The sequence below is a fragment of the Homo sapiens genome, chromosome 3 (genome assembly GCF_000001405.40).
Source record: "Homo sapiens chromosome 3, GRCh38.p14 Primary Assembly".
NCBI lineage: Eukaryota > Metazoa > Chordata > Mammalia > Primates > Hominidae > Homo > Homo sapiens.
In genome coordinates, this window is record NC_000003.12 from 73,188,567 (window position 1) to 73,209,541 (window position 20,975).

The window sequence follows — 20,975 nt, forward strand, 5'->3', positions numbered from 1 at the left end:
CTTTTGGAGTACCTCTTAAGAGGAGAAAGAACTGTGGAGTTCTTAGAGATGCGTCCAAGGCCTTATAACAATTCTGTTGCTGACTCCTTTCCTACTTGGTTCTCTCTCCCCACCCTCTTGGAAGTTTTATGAGATCCAATTTGGGACTAGTATAATAAATCATCTCCTCACCCTCCTCTCTCTCCCTCTCTCTTCCCTCCCCCTTTTTTCTTCTCTTTCCTCCCCCTTCTCCTCTTTCCTCTTTTTCCTTCTCCCCCTCCTTCTTCCTCCTCCTCCCCCTCTCCCTCTCCTCTTCTTTTTCCTCCTCTTTCCTCCTCCTTCTCCTGCTTCTTCTCCCCCACCACATCTTTTCTCAGCTGGCCCTGTCTGGATGAAAGCAAACCTTCCCAAGGGACTCTCATCCATCCATACCCATGTGACACACTAGTGATGTGGATTTTTCTCTCTGTTGTGACTGCTGTAATTTGATATTTGCCATGCCAATAGCCACCACATGCTTTCTTTTAGTTAATGACATTTATTTGACATCCTCTGTCACATGAGTAATCTTTAACCTATGCAGTCCATCTGTCTTCTTTTGGTGGCAATTTTTGTTCAAATAATAGCAGTGGCGTATATCCACCACTTTTTGAACACTTCCAGCGTGCCAGGTGCTGGGGTGAATAAATATATTTACTCACATAATCCTTGCATCTCTTTTTGAGGTCAATGGGGGCATCATGATTTGACAAGTGAGACGCTGAGGCTCAGAGGGTTAAGGAATTTGCCTTAGTGTGGCGGAGCTGGGATTCCACCCCTGGTCGCCTGGATGCTAAAGTCAGTGAATTAACAAAATGTCCTCCCCAAAATTGAAGGAGCTTTAGAAAATGGCATTAAGATGTCTGCTGGTTGAGTGACCTCATAGAACAGAAGAGGTTTATTCTGCCAGGAGCGTCAGTGCAATGAAAAGACTCCCATGGAATCTCAAGAGGTCCAAGTTCTAATGCAGTTATTCTCAAGGTCCTACCAACCCAGTCTCTCATGCTCAAGGCATCCCAGACTTTAGGTCCATCCCGGAGGCTTTGTCTATGTTCAGTGATGCCTAGGGCTCTAGTTTGACATCTTGAACAAAGCTCTTGGAGGACTCAGACAGTGAAGAACTTCTTGTTACAACCACAAGAAGTCTTACTTAGGAACTGTTGTCTGACTGAGCCAGGAAGCAGACAAGACGGTGTAGGTTGTGGAAATACTCCATTTGTTTGGGGTGAGACTGGTCATGGGATGAGAGCTGGTGAAATGGGACCTGCTGTATTTCTTATATAGAAAGAGGATAAATCTTCAGGCAAAGGGAAGGTGGAAATCTGGCTTGGAGTCTGGGAAGCCCATCCTAGAAGAGAGTAGGTGGACACCCTAGTGTAATGGCATCCCAGTGTAAGCTCCACTAAGTGACCCTCGAAACCTGTCAGACCCTGGCCGGGCACGATGGCTCATGCCTGTAATCCCAGCACTTTGGGAGGCAGTGGAGGGGGTGGATCACGAGGTCAGGAGTTCAAGACCAGCCTGGCCAAGGTGGTGAAACCCCATCTCTACTAAAAAAATACGAAAAATTAGCTGGGCTTGGTGGTGGTTGCCTGTAATCCCAGCAATTCAGGAGGCTGAGGCAGGAGAATTGCTTGAACCCGGGAGGCGGAGGTTTCAGTGAGTTGAGATTGCGCCACTGCACTCTAGCCTGGGTGACAGAGCTAGACTCCGTCTCAAAAAACAAACAAACAAACAAACAAACAAACAAACAGAAAAACCTGTCAGACTCGAATTTTATTTTAGTCAAATTTAGGACAGAATTTCTTAAGGAAAATAAAATCAAGAATTTCAACTCTTGTTTTGGTTGTTTGGAGGCTGACGATGAAGGGGAATAAACAAGATGATTTTCCTCTTCAATAAAGATTTACCTGTAGGAGAGACCTCCTATATTTGACCCCTCCCTTCTTTATATGACAAAATTATTTTCAGGAACAATTATGAAATGAAACAAAGGATAGTAATGGACAAAAAGGACACTCAGTCTATATTTTCTTTTATCAACTTTATGTATGGTCATGCTATTAAAAAATAAATGTTACTGCACCAAAATGGAAAAAAAGTAGTGAACTAAAACTTGATTATATTAATGTGTTTTTTTAAATGGGGAGAATCTTTATACAGATATTCTATTGTAGTAATATAGTTTTTTTTTAAAGCTTCTGCCAGTCTGTCAATTACTTTAATAAAGTGGATCTTCACATATGCAGGTTTAGCAGATGGTAGCCAGTTTTGTCAAGCTATCCTTGCTCATGATTGGTCACACAACAGTTATTAATTTTAATTTTAAAACATTTCTTTCATACACAGCAACAGATATACAAATACTGGGGAAAGTCTTAAATATAAGGCTAAATTTGACAGTGATTCCTAAAAATAGTGTTTCACCGCACGTTCTAGAATTCACAACATTGCCCATATCTTTGTTTATTCAGGATGGATTTTAGGGGGTTTCAAACGTCTTTGCACTTGAAAAAATTTAAACATAAACACTCCAATTGATCACACTAAATGACACAATTGAATGAACTGGAATTCTGTTTGTTGGTTTTAGAACCACTGTGTTGTCTTTGTCTTTATTCTGGAGCTTCTGTGTAAACACAGAAATATGTTGTCCTCTGGGGATTGGAAATAGGAACTGTGACCACAGCAAGCTCAAACTATTTGGAATTTTTTTTTTTTTTTTTTTTTTTGAGACAGAGTCTTGCTGTTTCACCCAGCTGGAATGCAGTGGCGAGATCTTGGCTCATTACAACCTCCACTTCCTAGGTTCAAGCAATTCTCGTGCCTCAGCCTCACAAATAGCTGGAATACAGGTGTGCGCCACCATGCCTGGCTAATTTTTGTATATTTAGTAGAGACTGAGTCTCGCCATATTGGCCAGGCTGGTCTTGAACTCCTGAACTCAATTGATCTGCCCTCCTTGGCCTCCCAAAGTGTTGGGATTACAGCCATGAGCCACTGTACCCAGCCTGGGAACTTACTTTTGATACCAACACGAGCAGTTGAGTCCCTGTGTGTTCAGAGATGACTATAATACATTCTCAGAATTTACTTTCATGTAGAATATGATGTTTATTAAAGGATAAATTGGAAAGCCATGCTAATTTGAAGCTTACATATATGTATTATTGAAACTGAACAGAGTAACCACGATTATTTAGACTTGCACCAATGAAAGTTTTTTGTTGTTTTTGTTTTACGGATAATTTTTTCATTAACATTCTTTAGTTGCCAGTGTATGGTGATTATGAAAAGGAGACCAACTCCTAGGTACTGTAGTTTTATTGTCGTTTTTTATTTCCAGGATCATATACCCTGCCTGGCCCTCAGTAATCTCTATTGAAAGGATTGCTTTGGCTTCAGATGTTTTGAGCTATTTCTAGCCCATTTCAAGACTCTCTTTTCCCACCACTTTTCTCCAATGAGAGGTCCTCAAGAACAGAATCTGGGCCAGGGTTAGGATTCTTTGGAAATGCAGTCTTTTGGAGGATGTAGTCCAGTCTGAGTGTATGAGCCATTGCTCTACCCCCATGAAAATAGGAGCTCTAAGTCGCCCACCAGAGGGGGTGAATTTGTCTCAATCACTGTCATGCTCACTCCCAACCCCCAGGTGTCTCACTGTGGTCAGAATGCCCTATAACTCTAGTATAGAGCAAAGGTAAATTGTCGGTATCAAGATTGGATCTCTTTACCAAGGTGCTTAAATATACCAGCCCTCCCCCTTGCTACCTGAGGCAGAAATAGCGCCAACCCAGCTCTTCGAGCCATGCCAGCAAGTTGTTTCGGTCTTTGCTTTTTTTTTGTTTTTCATCAGCTGTACTTATCCCCCCTCCCCCAGTTGCGATTTTTTTCTAAAATGGCTGCTGAATGGCACCATGTATCAGGAGACAATCTTGATCAGCTAATCCCATTAGGAGATGGCCCCTTTGCTGGACAATCTCATCAGAAATTCCCCTGGAGGAAAAATTAGTATTAAATTTGGTTGAGGGAATCCTAATTACATACAAAGACAGCCCCTATAAAATATGTCCTTTGTGTGATAAGACCGAAAAGACCCAGGCATTCATCCTTATTTTGCTAGTGCTCACTTCTTAGAGATTTTATTTTTACCATAGAAACAATAAATACAGCAAGTGTCTTCCATTTTCAGTGTGGGATAGAATCCTTACTGAAATTAGGAGCATTGGGAGCCTCTGAGACTAATAAGTCTACAGAACATCTGGAAGAGGGGCAAATAAAATGTTTCTTGCAGGATTTTTAGGGAGAAACAAATGGGACTTGGGGAGTAGGAGGTAGGTGACTGCAAGTGCTTTGTTTCACATGAAAGATAAAACATGATTAGGCCAGGAGGTTCCCAAGGAACCCTGAATAATACAAACCAAAGCCTATTAGGCATCACGTACTTCATGTGTGAGGGGTTGTTTGCCAGTCCAGGGCCTATTTGCCTCTGATCCGTTCTTTGTTGCTCTACTACTGTGCTCAAGGAAGAGGGGATTGACCCTCGCAGGCTGTGTTTCTCAGGTTCTTTTATCACCTGTCTGGGTTGGGCCAATGGGATGCAGGGGTAGGAGGTTAGAGGCCAGGGGGCAGGAATAAACAAGGGAATCTTCCCCACTAGCCCTACCTTTCTGCCTTGGGCAGTGTTTCTGGCAGCAGCTCTGTCTCCATTGTATGCCTGAAGGCATGTGATGGTTCTAGCTTATGCTGGTGGCCCCAGGTCCCGGGCTTAGATAAAGCCACCCTGAGTTAGTTCATTTTGTGTTGCTGTAAAAGAACATCTGAGACTGGGTAATTTATAAAGAAAAGAGGTTTATTTGACTCACTGTTCTGCAGGCTGTACAAGAAGCACAGTGCTGGCATCTGCTTCTGGTGAGGGCCTCAGGAAGCTTCCGGTAATGGCAGGAGGTGAAGGGGGAGCTGGTGCATCACACGGTGAGAGGTGGGGCAAGAGAGGGGATATCCCAGGTTCTTTTCTAACAACCAGATCTCATGTGAATTTATTACTATGAGGAGGGCACCAAGCCATTCATGAGGGATCTGCCCCCATGACCCAAACACTTTTCACCAGGCCCCAACTCCAGCATTGGGAATCACATTTCAACAGGAGATTTGGAGATGGCAAACATTCAAACCATATCACACTTCTTCTATTTCTTTTTTAAAAATTTTTTCTTTTTTTTATTATTATACTTTAAGTTCTAGGGTACATATGCACAAGTGCAGGCTCGTTACAGAAGTATACATGTGCCATGCTGGCCCGCTGCACCCATCAACCCATCATTTACATTAGGTGTTTCTCCCAGTGCTATCCCTCCCCCATCCCCCCACCCCACGACAGGCCCCAGTGTGTGATGTTCCCCACCCTGTGACCAAGTGTTCTCATTGTTCAATTCCCACCTACGAGTGAGAACATGTGGTGTTTGGTTTTCTGTCCTTGCAATAGTTTGCTCAGAATGATGGTTTCCAGCTTCATCCATGTTCCTGCAAAGGACATGAACTCATCCTTTTTTATGGCTGCATAGTATTCCATAGCGTATATGTGCCACATTTTCTTAATCCAGTCTATCATTGATGGACATCTGGGTTGGTTCCAAGTCTTTGCTATTGTGAATAGTGCCGAAATAAACATACGTGTGCATGTGTCTTTATAGCAGCATGATTTATGATCCTTTGGGTATATACCCAGTAATGGGATTGCTGGGTCAAATGGTATTTCTAGCTCTAGATCCTTGAGGAATCACCACACTGTCTTTCACAGTGGTTGAACTAGTTTATACTCCCACCAACAGTGTCAAAATGTTCCTATTTCTCCACATCCTCTCCAGCATCTGTTGTTTCCTGACTTTTTAATGATCTTCATTCTAACTGGTGTAAGATGCTATCTCATTGTGGTTTTGATTTGCATGTCTCTGATGGCCAGTGATGATGAGCACTTTTTCACATGTCTGTTGGCTGCATAAATGTCTTCTTTTGAGAAGTGTCTGTTCATATCCTTTGCCCACCTTTTGATAGGGTTGTTTGTTTTTTTCTTGTAAATTTGTTTAAGTTATTTGTAGATTCTGGTTATTAGCCCTTTGTCAGATGGGTAGATTGCAGAAATTTTCTCCCATTCTGTAGGCTGCCTGTTCATTCTGATGGTAGTTTCTTTTGCCGTGCAGAAGCTCTTTAGTTTAATTAGATCCCATTTGTCTGTTTTGGCTTTTGTTGCCATTGCTGTTGGTGTTTTAGTCATGAAGTCCTTGCCCATGCCTATGTCCTGAATGGTATTGCCTAGGTTTTCTTCTAGGATTTTTATGGTTTTAGGTCTAATATTTAAGTTTCTACTCCATCTTGAATTAATTTTTTTTTTTTTTTTTTTTTTTTTTTTTTAGATAGGGTCTCGCTCTGTTGCCCAGGCTGGAGTGCAGTGGTATGATCTTGGCTCACTGCAACCTCTGCCTCCTGGGTCCCAGTGATTCTCCTGCCTCAGCCTCCCAGGTGGCTGGGACTATAGGTGCGTGCCACCATGCCTGGCTAATTTTGTATTTTTAGTAGAGGTGGGGTTTCACCATGTTGGCCAGGCTGGTCTCGAACTTCTGACCTCAGTTGATCCACCTGTCTCGGCCTTCCAAAGTGCTGGGATTACAGGCGTGAGCCACCATGCCAGGCTAGAAAATTAAAAAAAAATTTTTTAACTTTTATTTTAGATACAGAGGGTACGTGTGCTGATTCGTTACATGGGTATATTGTACTCAGGTCACAAGCATAGTACCAAAGAGGTAGTTTTTCAACCCACCCCTCTCTTTCTTCCTCCCCTCCAAGTAGTCCACAGTGTGGACTATTCCCATACAACTAGATTATTTATACTAACTTAGAATTAAGATGGTTGACAAAGAACTGTAGCTAACTTTCTTGGGATTTTAATTATTTTTTAACTTTTAAGTTCAGGGGTACAAGTGCAGGTTTGTGACATAGGTAAACTTGTATCATGGTGCTTGTTGTACAGATTATTTCCTCATTCAGGTATTAAGCCTAGTACCCATTGGTTATTTTTCTTGATTCTCTCCTTCCTCCCACTCCCCACCCTGTGAAAGGCACCAGTGTGTGTTGTTTCCCTCTGTGTGTCCATGCGTTGTCATTGTTTAGCTCCCACCTGTTTCTTTTTCTTTTTTCTTTTTTTTTTGAGACAGAGTCTCACTCTGTCGCCCAGGCTGCAGTGCAGTGGTGTCATCTCGGCTCACTGCAAGCTCTGCCTCCCGGGTTCATGCCATTCTCCTGCCTCAGCCTCCTGAGTAGCTGGGACTATAGGTGCCTGCCACCACGCCTGGCAAGTTTTTTGTGTTTTTAGTAGAGACAGGGTTTCTCCATGTTAGCCAGGATGGTCTTGATCTCCTGACCTCGTGATCTGCCTGCCTTGGCCTCCAAAAGTGCTGGGATTACAGGCATGAGCCACCGCGCCTGGCCCCCCACCTGTTTCTTTAACCTCTAGGCTGTGATGGCGTCCTGCTGTTGCTCATCTCTGGACTGCCTCAGTGGCCCCTGGTGGCCTCTTAACTCTTTCTCCATTGGGTGGCCAATTCCCTGCTTTAAATTTCCTGTTTCAAATATAGAGAAGTTTCTGGTTTTCAGGTAGGATCATGAAGGACACACCCCAGTGAGAACCATACATGAGGCTGCTGTTCAGTTTATTCTTCACTTCTAGGAATGTCTATTCCTCTTCTTCTCATCCTCCTCCTTGGATTCCAGCAAGGACCAGACCTAAATTATTCCAGACTTATGTCTCTGCTCCTCTGTGTGCTATTGATAACAAATATTGTTCATGTTTATAAGGTTAATTGATCGGATGGATTTAGGGGGCTTAGTAAATAAACCGGATACTACAGCTGCAGACTTGGGAGTAGGTAGAAAGCCTGGAAGCCCCCTGGGAATAGGGATGCTCCTGCTACCCCCCACATGGCTGACTCTAACCTCATCTTCCAGCATGGTGACCCCCAAAACTCAGAGTCCCAGCAGAGAGAATCCTAGAGGCTGAGCTTGAGTCACATGGCTCCTCTGTCTGTACCAGTGGACATGGATATGGGAAGAAGGAGCTTTGTGATTCGGATTCCATAATGGGCATGAGTCTCTGTAATAACCATCCCACTAAGACTGCACACGAAGAGGTGATTCCCTGGAGGGAATCAGGCCACTGTTGGGAAGGGGACATGGAAGCTGAGCAGCCACCAGGGGACAAGTACTCACCACATGCTCCATGAAAGATGGCTCCTTGTTAATTATTATTCTGGTCTCTCTGGGTAGGGTCTGAGAGTAACTGCTGTTTATTGACACTTGGCTAAGAGCATCATCTCATTTAAGTTGGTTTATAGATGAACTGACTCATCTGTGGCCCAAGGAGCTGCAATACAAAAGTTCACACAGCTGGAAAAGTAGCACAGCTGGGTTTTATTTTTATTTTTTATTTTTACTTTTGAGATGGAGTCTCACTCTGTCACCCAGGCTGGAGTGCAGTGGTGGAATCTCGGCTCACTGCAACCTCCACCTCCTGGGCTCAAGACAGCTGAGTTTTAATTCAGGTGGGTCGGACCCCAAGGCCTGGGATAGCAACCACTGTGCCATTATGAAGCTGAGGGCTAACCCGATGAAGCTGCCAAAAGAAACCTGCCTTGCTTGCTTTTAATTGCCCACCTCTAGTTGATCTTGAAACCTGTATAGTTAAACATCACGTCGCTAAGCAATCCACTAGCTCCTTAGAGAGAACATCTCTGACAGATAGGTCACCATGGTAACAGCTGCTTAAAGTTGTTTTTTAGGAACTAGGGGACAGCTCTTACCCAGTTCAAACTGGTTGAAACCACAGTCCTTCAACTAGGCCCTGCACAGTTGGCTGCGAGGTGATTTTTTGGCATCAGAAAGCTGAAAACTCCTCCCTAAGATCATGCTAATGCCGCTGTTTTCTGAACATGTGTTCTATGAAGATCCATGAATCTCGACTACCTTGTGCAGGTCACCCAGTATCTCACTCTTTCTTATGCCCAATCATCTTTCCCCACACCTTGGCCTGCCTTGAGCCTCTATCTCATAAATATCCCTAAAACTCCATCTTCAGGGAGGCAGATTTGACACCTGTTTTCCCACGTCCTTTCTTGGCTGCCTCATGAATCAACTCTTTCTTTTTTGTAAAACCTGTTGTCAGCCGGGCATGGTGGCTCATGCCTGTAATATCAGCACTTTGGTAGGTCGAGGTGGGCGGATCACGAGGTCAAGAGATTGAGACCATTCTGGCCAACACGGTGAAACCCTGTCTCTACTAAAAATACAAAAATTAGCTGGGTGTGGTGGCACGTGCCTGCAGTCCCAGCTACTTGGGAGGCTGAGGCAGGAGAATCACTTGAACCCGGGAGGCAGAGGTTGCAGTGAGCCAAGATTGCGCCACTGCACTCCAGCCTGGCGACAGAGCAAGACTCCATCTCAAACAACAATAACAACGACAAAAAACCCAACCTGTTGTCATAGTGGCTGGCTTGCTACATGCAGCAGAAGGAACCTGGTTCAATATCAACAAAACCTGCTTCCAGAGGAGCTGGTTATGGTCACTGCTCACCCTCCCCAGATATCCCATTTCACAAGGTTCTGGGAGAGTCACTTGCTCAAGGGTGCACATGGCTGGAAAGTGTTGGGAGCTGTATCCTAGTCTTCGTAGATCCAATGACTCTCCATCATTCTATCATTCCCCAGGGTGTTTTCCTGAGAACTCCAGTCATGTGAGACATTCTGCAAAGAAGAGGCAAACAAAAATACCTGTGGTTGCATCTACCTGGAGAAAGCTACAGGAGATTATCTCCCTCCAGGGACTCACAGCATATAGTGTATTAGAGGATCCGAAAAGCCTTAAGATAATAAACCCTGTTGAGCTTTGTTTAACTCAGAATTTACTAACCTAATTGGACCTTGGAAAACACAATACTCATTAACATCTCTTCCAATGAACATCATTTAGGAAAATTTTACTGTACCAACATTTTCCTACTAGGTAAACTGATGAAGATGTTCATAACCAGAGATGATCTGTCCATGGGCTGTGGCTGCTTTGAGGCATGGGGGAAAATAAACTGGTAATTTGGGCGTGCTGTGCCACAATGGTGGGGGGTGGTCTAGGTCATGCCCTTTTGGTGCTAGTTCAGAATTTCCAGCTCCTCTTTAGACCTGCCTGCATTGCAAGATATAGCTTATGTTTTCCGAGTGACTTTCTCTTTCCTTTCTTCCTCAAATACACAGGCACGCTAACTTGGTGTGCCATCTTCTAAAAATGTTAAAATGCGTTAAAATAGATTTTGGGACTGTTATAACACCAGTCAAGGTAACTAGGGGTGTCTTAAGTATTTCAAAACTACCTTTGGGGTCAGTACTGCTTTCAGTGCTTAGTTAACAGATTATCGTATTCTGGAGTTAGAGGCAAACTAGTGATGTCATCTAGTCTTTTCCCCACAGAAAGGCGTAGAAAAGCGTATTCTCTAATTTGATTGAAGCATTCCCAATTAAAAAAGCAATCACACCTCAAATCTTTTATACCTGACCTCGTTTTAGATATAACATGGCAATCTTTCTAAATGGGATTTTCTAGCTTGCACATGTGTGGATATGTGTGCTAATGGTGGCAGTGGTTGTCATTTAGTGATATCCTCATTACAGCATTAAAGAATAAGGTCTCTGCGGAATTACAGTGACTGTATTTGAACTGTTAGCCATCTTCCCATGATACATTGCAGCTTGCATCTTTTGGCTATAAAGCTGCAATGCTATACATCTAGAAAGAGACAGGGAAATTACAAATTAGGCATATTGTACTATTATCTGCAGATTTCATGGTAAATTCTGTACATAAAAATTTCCCTGCAACGGTTCTATGTATAAGAATTTGTACATACTCCATATAGATCTTTCAAAATGAAGACCGATGAAAAATGGTTTGGCCAAGCAATAAATACATAATGAAACATCACCTTTGATCTTTCCTGCTTTCTATGAGGTCAAAGTTGGGATAGGTTATAAATCATGATTTATGCCCTTAAGTCTCTGATATTTTTTAAAGCAGCTTCCCCCCCACCATTGGTTTGATTTTGAGTTGTTTAATTATTCATCAACCTGCAATACTTCCATTTCTTCAATATTGGGCATATTTGTTTAATTTTGGATGCAATTTGATTTTCAAGATTTAGCTTTGTTTTTCAACCTCAATGCATTATCTTTGTTTTTAATCTATTGCATTATAGTCACATTAATGTGGAGACTTAGTTGTGGCAAATAGAAACCTAAAATATTTCATATACACATACATACATATATACATTATGTATGTGTGTGTGTATTTATGTCATCAACTGCTATCCAAACAATAGTTTTTTAATAGAATTTTCACCTTTTTTCCCCCGATACCTCCTTTTCTATTTTTCTTCAAAACCCAACTGCTAAATGCTCCCAGGAGCTGTGGCGACTTGGAAACATGAGATGTTTCACACGCAATTATAATGATTTTAACAATGCTGCTTGACTTGATGGTGTCGGCATTGATGAGAAAGAACTTTCAACAGTGGCATTTCTTCATAAGATAATTGGTTAATAGAAAAAACCTGATCTGGCTTTGCACTTCCTGAGTGGCAACCTGGTCTTCTCAAGCAAGAGAGACAGCAGCAAATTCCTTATTATCTTAGTGGTTGGTCTTAAATTTTAGGGTTGATGGATGGATGAGACTCTGTAACACACATAGTCCTGAAACTCCGTGCTATTTGATGTTAAAATACATCAATCAACTTTTAAGCATAACTTGATGCTATAATTGGATACTGGCAAAAGCTTATTTCATACATTACTTCTGTTAATTTGTTTTTATGCCCCAGTTAAAGTTCCATGCCACTTAGTACTTCATGGGAAAGAAAGAGTTGGCATCATACTTAAAAAACCCCTGGGGTGCCTCACACACTGGGTAAAATGGCTCCTCCCTCCCCTGCATTGTCTTCATACCTTGAGAGTTAGTTCTCTTAACTATGAAATTGTTGAAACAGCACAGAATATTGTAGCTAAACCAGCGTCACTTCATTAAGCATCCTTAGCAAGGGCTGAATGTGGCCATGTGGCCACTCTAGTGAATATAGTCCCAGCACTAAAAAACATTTATTGCCACCATTAAAAAAAAAGAACTTTTAAAATGAGTTTGAAAGAAAGCCATTACCTCCTTAACTACCAAATAAACTCAGTGGTCTATGTAGATTATGATGAAATATCTTTGGTGCTTCAATTGTATTCTCTTTGTTCCATAAGTTGTAACTCATGCTGGGCTTTTGCTGACAACTTGGTAACTATTCTTGCCTTTCTCTGTCCCTCCTCATTCCCTTCAGCCTGACTTCTCTTGCTAACGACCTATGCTTTGTTTGCTTTATCGCTTGTTTTCATCTTGGAATAAACTTGTTTATTCCCTATTTTCTTTGTGTGTGTGTGTGTGAGTGTGTGTGTGTTTAAGGTATAGAAACTTTAAATAAAACTTAGTTGCTTTTGCAGGGTGGTAATTGGCTATTATAGCGTATATTTGAGATTTCTGTTAGCATTTTTTTTTTGTTGCAAATACTGCAATTTATTGATACGTATAGATTGAAACATACTTAGGAGGCTTAAGATAATCAGGAATAGAGGAAGTGTCCAGTTTCCCCACCATCAAACTGGCCAATATCTATAAATTCAGTTTCTGGAAATCCATGAATCATAAAGGACATTTTTCAGCAGTTTTTCACCCCAAGAGGACAGTTCACAGAGGCTTTTCCTCCACCTATTTTCTCCTGCTTGCTTTGTAGCACATTTCGAATGTGGATGTGCTCTGTCTTTCAACACAACAGTAGGGGTGGGATTTGGCAAAGTCTTTTTAGGAGCAATATAATCACCAGGGCCTCCACTGTCATGCCAGACAGCCATTGTCTTGGCCTTAGTCCTAATACTTCCCCAGTAATTTCAAAAGTGCTTTCGGCAAGAATTAGTTAAATCTCCCTTTTTAGCCAGGCCATAGTTTTAAAACTCATTGCAAATCATAGGTACCATTTCTATAACTGGAGATTTCCTGAAATAACTGGAGGTCTCCTGAAATTAAATGCAGGCATTCCAGTGAAAAGGGACTCAGCAAAGCCAGCATCAAGGTGTGTGATGTTCATGGCTATTTTAAGGCAACAATCTCTCTACTGGGGCACAGGCCCAAACTATTTGCTTTCATTTAAATCCCCAACCACTACTGCTGAGCCTGGCAAGCAGGACAAGGGGCAAGAAGCCTTCCCAGCTGCAGAATGGCAGCCAGGGATGGGGGAACAAGTCAGGATCTCTGGTTCTGATTTTCCTTCCCCTCTGTTCTAGATATCTCCCTTTGTATTTTATTTATTTATTTATTTATTTATTTATTTATTTATTTATTTTTGAAATGGAGTCTCACTCTGTTGCTCAGGCTGGAGAGTGCAGTGGTACAATCTCAGCTCACTGCAACCTCTGCCTCCTGGGTTCAAGTGATTCTCCTGCCTCAGCCTCCTGAGTAGCTGGCATTAAGAGCGTGTGCCACCACGCCTGGCTAATTTTTGTATTTTTAGTAGAGGCAGGGTTTCACCATGTTGGTCAGGCTGGTCTCGAACTCCTGGCCTCAAGTGATCCGCCCACCTTGGCCTCCCAAAGTGCTGGGATTATAGGCGTGAGCCACCCAGCTGGGTCTCCATATGTATTAATACTCCACAAGCTTCACTTTTCTCATCTTGGAAGTCAAGATAAGCCCAGGGTTGTGAAACAAAACCAACGGATGGATATGAAAACACCAGTTAACATAAACTTGATTGATGGCAGGGCTGGCTTCCTGGGCATGTGTTCTAATGCAGTCACACAGGACAGGTGTTCAGAGGGGCCCTGTATTGGTTTAATACTCTGCTGTCACCGTCTTGATATTCTGAATAATTTTTGAATAGTGGACTCTGCATTTTCATCTTACATTGGATCTCCCAAATTATGTATCCAGTCTTGATTGCAGGCCCATGGTTGTTTTGCACAGATGTTTTTGTTACTGGGCCCCTGCTCCAGGCAGGCGTAATTCGAGGTCGAGGGTCATTCTTTGGCCTCACTAATTCTAGTCCAGGATAGAGGTTCTTGCTGCTGATGCTCTCACCTGTAAGACAGAGGTGGATGGACGGAGAAGCCAGTGACCTTAAAGCCTCATGGCTTCTCCTTTGCAGGTTATCTCTCAAGGCTTTGGGTGGACCTCTAGAAATTTAAAAATTATTTTTATGCAAAATTGTCTAAGCTTTGACTCTACCCGTGCTGTTAGGGAGTACTTTCTAGAAGTTAACGGGATGTTTTCAGTGCATGATAATTGGAAGATGGCAATGCTGGCCCTTAGTGGGTAGAGGTAAGAGAGGCTAGACTGCCACAATGCACCCCATGGTCCCACATGTCAGAATTTTCCTGTGTCCCCACATGATGTCCCACATGACATTCAAATGACCCAATCAGATCTTCTTGTAGGTAAACACTGGTTTCATTTACAGAAGCCAGGAACTTGATGCCATTTTCCACATAAGTACAATATACTTTTTGCATGCTTTTAATATGTATGGCATCATTCAGGAATGCAAGTACAGTCAAATTAGAAGGAATATTATAGTTTGTGTCATCTGGAACCAATCTGAGAACTATTTGCTATCTTTGAAATTTTGTCATGGATGGCAACACTGCTAGTGACACTGGACTCTTGATACAGCATGCCTGTATGAATCCACACTGACTGTGGCATCCAGGGTGGTTTGATGCAGTTATACACAAGTGTACTTATTTAGCCCTTATTTCAACGTGTCAACTGCAAACCCACTCATTATACGGAGGTGCCAGCCCCTGACGTCTTGTTATATGGTCTAGCCTAGGGCAGGAATCAGCAAACTAGGGCCTGTAGCCCAAATCCATCCTGTGACCTGCTTTTGCACAACCCATGAGCTAAGGATGGTCTTTACATTTTTAAAGGGTTGTTAAAAAAAAAAAAAGACTATACAATAAAGATCCTATGTGGGCCACAAAGCCTAAAATATTTACCTTCTCGTCCTTTACAGAAAAAGTTTGCTGACTGCCAGCCTACAATAATAATGCTCACACATTTATACACAGCTCATTATGGATTATTTTCTTTTTTATTTCTCCTTTATATTACAGCAAGGACAACTGAGTCAGCAATTTGTCTGCCAATTGGATATTTACTACTTTCTTTCTTTTTTTTTTTTTTTGAGAAGGAGTCTTACTCTGTTGCCCAGGCTGGAGTGTAGTGGCTCAATCTCGGCTCACTGCAGGCTCTGCCTCCCGGGTTCAAATGATTCTCCTGCCTCAGCCTCCTGAGTAGCTGGGATTATAGGTGCATACCACCATACTGGGCTAATTTTTGTATTTTTAGTAGAGACTGGGTTTCGTCATTTTGGCCAGGCTGGTCTCAAACTCCTGGCCTCAATCCATTTGCCTGCCTTGACCTCCCCAAGTGCTGGGATTAAAGGCGTGAGCCTTTAAATGCCCAGCTGAGTAAAAAGGTCTTAAGGAACATTTTAGTGTAGTTACCATTAGGCATCATGATGCTGGGGATGGAAAAAAAACACAGATGGCCACTATACTTCCTTTCTGTCAGCCCATTTTCTCACCTCTTTGGCTCAGTGAACACAGCTTCTAAATTTTCCATGAAACTTTCCCCAGTAACTACAATCAATAGTAATCTATCCCTCACTGAACTCCTTAACATTTACTGTATGAAATTGATCAAATTTTTTATGGTGGTAACACATCCAGGCATGAAAGCATCCTGGAGGTTAAATACATCCTTATAAAGCTAAAATAAAGGAAGAAACATTACTTTTAATGTTGGAGGACTATCCTGTTGGATTAGGGGTTGAGCAGGCTTCTGTGGCCTGGCCCACCAAGATAACTTGCTTTGTCAAAGAGAATTGGTTCTACATTTCAAACTGATAATTTATAAAAACAGTCATCTGGAACAAAAACTGCTTGGCTGAGCAAGTTTTTCTTTCTTTGGAATGAATAAGAAATTCATTTATCATTTGATAGTAATAGACACCAATGTGGTAACAGTGGTCTATCTGTAGTTGATGAGGTCGTTCTAGTTATCTAATGCTGTATGACAAACAACTCTCCAAAACTTAGTTGATTCTTGAGTATGCAGTCTGGATGCAGTCTAGGAGTTGGCAGGGCAGCTTATCTCTGTTTTCCTTGGGGTCATTTGGGATGAATAGAAGGCTGGAATCATCTGAAGGCTCACTCATATGTCTGGTGCCTGAGCTGGGGAGACTAAAACAGCTGAAGGTTGGAATGGCTAGGGCTTTTGAGCATCTTTCCCTATCTAATCTCTCCATGTGATCTCTCCAGCATGGAGACTGCCTACATGTCAGCTCAAGGCTCCCCAAGGCATATGTTTTCAGAGAGTGAGTGAGAAAGAGAGAGAGAGAGAGAGAGAGAGAGAGAGAGGGAGAAGCTTGAAGAAGAGGAGGAGGAGGAAGAGGAAAAAAGAGAGAGAGCAGGCAAGTGTCAAGCTGAAGCCACATCACCTTTCATGACCTAACCTTGGAAGTTACATAGCATCATCTCCACTGAATTTTAATGGGTCAGTGAAGTTACAAAGACCCACATAGTTTCAAGGGAAGAGAACATGGATTCTCAGTGTAGACAAGTGTTAATATCCCATTGTAAGAAGAACTTGAGGATTGGGGTAGGGGTGTGTGTATGTAGCCATCTTTGAGAAAATACAAACTGCCACAAACACTAAAGATGACATTTATAGCCTTTAAAAAATATATAACTTTCTGATTTTCGAAGAGAACATATTCCTTTAAACACCAGAAAAATTGGCTGGGCGTGGTGGCTCATGCCTGTAATGCCAGCAATTTGGGAGGGTGGATGGATCATGAGGTCAGGAGATCGAGATCATCCTGGCCAATATGGTGAAACCCTGTCTCTACTAAAAACAGAAAAATTAGCTAGGCATGGTGGTGCGTGCCTGTAATCCCAGCTACTTGGGAGGCTGAGGCAAGAGAATAGCTTGAACCAGGGAGTCGGAGGTTGCAGTGAGCCTGGATCATGCCACTGCACTCCAGCCTGGCGACAGAGTGAGACTCCATCAAAAACAACACCACCACCACCACCACCACCACCACCACCACTACCAGAAAAATTACAAGAGACTTTGGCTAAAACAACAACGACAATGCTTGTTATAGGATCTTAGAACAAAGCTGTGGCCAGTATACGGTGTGGTTTTTTGCCCTAATCTAGCCACTCTGATCACTGACTATGACTGCAGTAAGCCTGTTCAACATAGAACAAGGCATTGGTAGCATGACTGGCCAAATGACAAACGAACTGATTTCTTCTCAATTCTTCTTGATATTTCAGACCAGCACCAGTGAAAGGCTCAGGATTTTCTAGGTAAAAGAAATAGAGAAACCTCCCTGAAACAATTGTCTGTCCTTTCTGTTCAGTGGGATTATGTAATTGTCAAGACCAGTGTTGGGCTCCGGCGACAACATCCTAGCCCCAGGGCATGGTGGCAGATGGAGTACAGTGTCTAATCAGCGTACACTCCCCCATTGCAGCCTGACCACATAAGGAGAGCAATAATAACGCTCCAAGAATGAAAACATCCGTCAAAGGCTGACAAACCTCTGACATAGATTTTCCTTAATGTTTCTAAAGGAGCTAGTTAAATGTGATGGAGTTGCTAATAAAAATTATTTGGTGGTCCTAGTGAAGCAGCCCTGTATGCCCTGTTCACCTTCCTTGTTAGGCAAGCAGGGAAGCCACATTAGAATTTTTGGTGGCTAATATTGATTGCAGTTTGAAACACAAAAGGCAACCAGACCAATGCAACTAAATTCAGTTGTCTTTAGGAGTTGGAGACGACACAGCAGAGAAGTGTTATAATGGTGGTCTTCGCTGGCTTTGTCGTTTTAGTCAATGAGCAGATGCCCTCAAGCGAGCAGGAGATGACAGAGTCATGGATCCACTTTTCCCTCAGTGAGTCTAATATTTTGCTTTTTTCTTTTCATGAAACATCATCCCTTAAGGCAAGTGAGCTAGTTCTTCTGGGGCTCAGTAGGAGAGAGAATGATGTGTTATGTGCTGAAGGAAAAACTAGTTGCAGAGGAGTTAATGAGTGAGACAGTTTAGTAGCAATGTGGTACCTCAGTTGTTCTTAAGTTGTGTTCCCTCCTGCCACATCTGCACTGAGCATAAAACATCTGGGGTGATAAGGCATGGGTACACACTGATTACTTGTTATTTACGAGTGTCCATTGCATAGAACCCTTGGTTCTGGTGGCTCTGCCCATCTGAGGAGATGGGGCTCTTTGGCCAAGCTAGGACAGCTGAGGCCTGGGCACCTTGTCTTCCTTCCCTTGCTCTACACAGCCATCTCTCCTGAGATCTGGCCACCTGCCAGGGATTAGGCAGCAAGCAGGTTCTGTGTTGCAGCCATTCCAAGGACACAGAGACCCCTGTCTCCTTTCTGGTCTGAGGGAATTACTCCTCCCTTCTCTGCTCTTTTCCCAAAGCTGTCTTTCTCTCCTCTCTTCTTCCTCAGCTCTTCTTGCATTATGTCTTTCATGGCCTTGGACTTTTATAAAACACAGGGCAGGGGGTGATATCAGCCTGCTTCTGCATTTTTCTCTTATTTCTCTGAGTCTGGCACAGCATGCTGATTTTACAGAAGAGGAAACTGAGGCCTGTGGAGATGAAGGGATTTGGGCAAAATTACACTGCTGGAGGCTGGGTTAGGCCTAGGTTCTTCCACCTGAAGTCCAACCTGTTTGTGTACCTCTCCATCAGTGGGAGCCAACTCTTCACCATACAGGGGATGCACTTCTGAATGCCCTCTGCACAGAGCTGTAGAATTAATGTTAGAACATCTGGAAGTCTGGCTTTCATGCTGCTATTGTTGTGTGACCTTGGCCAAATCACTTGACCTCCCTTGATCTAAAATTATTAAAATCTAAAACACTGGCTTGACCAACGGCACTAAGATGATTAGGATTAGATGAAAATACTGGAAGCCTTTAGTGAGTTATAGGCACCACACAGATAACATAATGAACTCTTCTAATTGCTCTGATCTGCCTTTACTTGCTTCAGTCCCTGGGTGATCACATTCTTCACCTCTCCCGGTCCTTAAAAATCTCCACAAACAGAGCCATGACATCACTGCATGGACATTGAAGTCATTTATTTGCTTATTAGTTTCTTGTGGCCTGGGACTATCTCTTTCCTCAGTGGAATTTTACTTCTCCTACATGAAAAGTTTGGGTTGTCATCATGTTGACAGGATTCAGTGAATCATTAATCTGTGTCATTAATAGTTTGTTACCAAACTCATTGCTTTGCTCATAAATGGCCCTGGTCCTCTCAATTAACTATTGTTTCACCCTCGTCTGTTGTGAAAGGATTTGACTGTGCTCTATGGCAGTTCTATCCTGGAGGAAGAAGTTCTCCTTATTGAAAATAAAAGGCTCCTCTCAGATCTGCTTTGCAAACATAGCCCGGTCTCTTGCTCAAGATCGGTAGGTCTTAGATGCCAAGTACAGCAGAATGCTTCTTTTATAGCTGTCTGTTGCCATCTGCATAATGGGAAGTGTTATTTATGTAACTGACTGCTTTCCTTACCAAATTGAGTTGCCAGAGGTCAGGGGCCCCTCTCTTCTTTATACCATTACCAATGCCACCTTGCAAGGTATCCTATTGTAATTACCTAAGAAAGCTTGTTTGAATTGAATTTTGCTACTGATTTTCCTTCACCAGAAAAAATGGCTGGTAGATTTGTGATGAGCTGTTGGTGTTCACATACCAAGTTTATTTTGCAGAAAATTGGTTGCTTAACTAAAGAGGGTGAGTACAACAGACTCATCTTATGCCATGTACAATTGTACCAAATAGTATGTTGAAGTAGGTGAAATCATGCTATTGACAGGTCCAAATGTCTTACTATTGCAGCTGCCAAAATGCTTCTAGGATTATTTTGGAAATTGCCTTGAAAATAAGCAGGCTCAGAATTTAGGAGGGTCATGAAAGCAGAATGTATGTGTGTTGGATATGGTGGGAATGTTTAAAAAATACAGGCTTCTAAGCTGTACCCCTCAAAGAGTATTCAGTGGGTTGAGATGAGGCCCAGGAATCTGCATATTTCACAAACAGTCCCAGGTGTGCAGATGAAGGGGGTCTTCAGAAAGCAGTTTGCAAAACCCTGATATTTCCTCCTAATTCATTAACAAAAGAAAACTGAACATTAGAGTTGTTGGTAGCATCGAGATTTCTGAAGAAGTATTAAAAGGTTACATGACTCAAAATTTCAAGAAAGGGTAAAAACCTTAGGATTTTCAACCTGGGTAGAATGCACATGTATTCCGGGTAAAGTCCAATATGGAAGACAATGTTGAAGTTATCTATTGCTATATAGGAAACTACCTAGTTTGTAGCTTAAGATAACCATTTTGTTCTGCTTTTGATTTAGTGGGTCAGGAATTTGGGAAGAGCTTGGTGGGGCAGTTTGAGTCTGACCTGCAGGCCGTCAGCTGGGCCTATGGGGCTGGATGATCCACTTTAAAGATAGCCTTTACAGTCACATACCTGGTACTGCAGTGTTTCTTGACATTATCTATCTATCTATCTATCTATCTATCTATCTATCTATCTATCTGTCTGTCTGTCTGTCTGTCTGTCTGTCTGTCTGTCCGTCTGTCCGTCCGTCTGTCCGTCCGTCCATCCATCCATCCATCCATCCATCCATTATTTATCTAATTTTTTCTAAAGCCTCTCCATGTGGCTCAGCTTCTCAGAGCAAGATGGTTTCAGGGCAGTGGTACTTTTTGCATGGTGACTGACTTTCAAGAAGCAGG

The 20,975-nt window shown here is 42.6% G+C and overlaps 1 long non-coding RNA gene across 1 annotated transcript in view, besides 1 other annotated feature; it reads left to right on the plus strand.

Annotated features, from left to right (window-relative positions):
* LOC107986098 (uncharacterized) overlaps nt 1–20,975 on the plus strand; it is a 222,236-nt gene that overhangs the window by 93,333 nt on the left and 107,928 nt on the right. The gene's annotated exons all lie outside the window — the stretch shown is intronic.
* Nucleotides 3,512–3,806: an enhancer, noted in NCBI's record as "tiled region #9383; K562 Activating non-DNase unmatched - State 13:Ctcf". NCBI's record gives its function as "activates a minimal TATA promoter and a strong SV40 promoter by Sharpr-MPRA in K562 cells {active_cell/tissue: K562}" and the evidence as "EXISTENCE:reporter gene assay evidence [ECO:0000049][PMID:27701403]".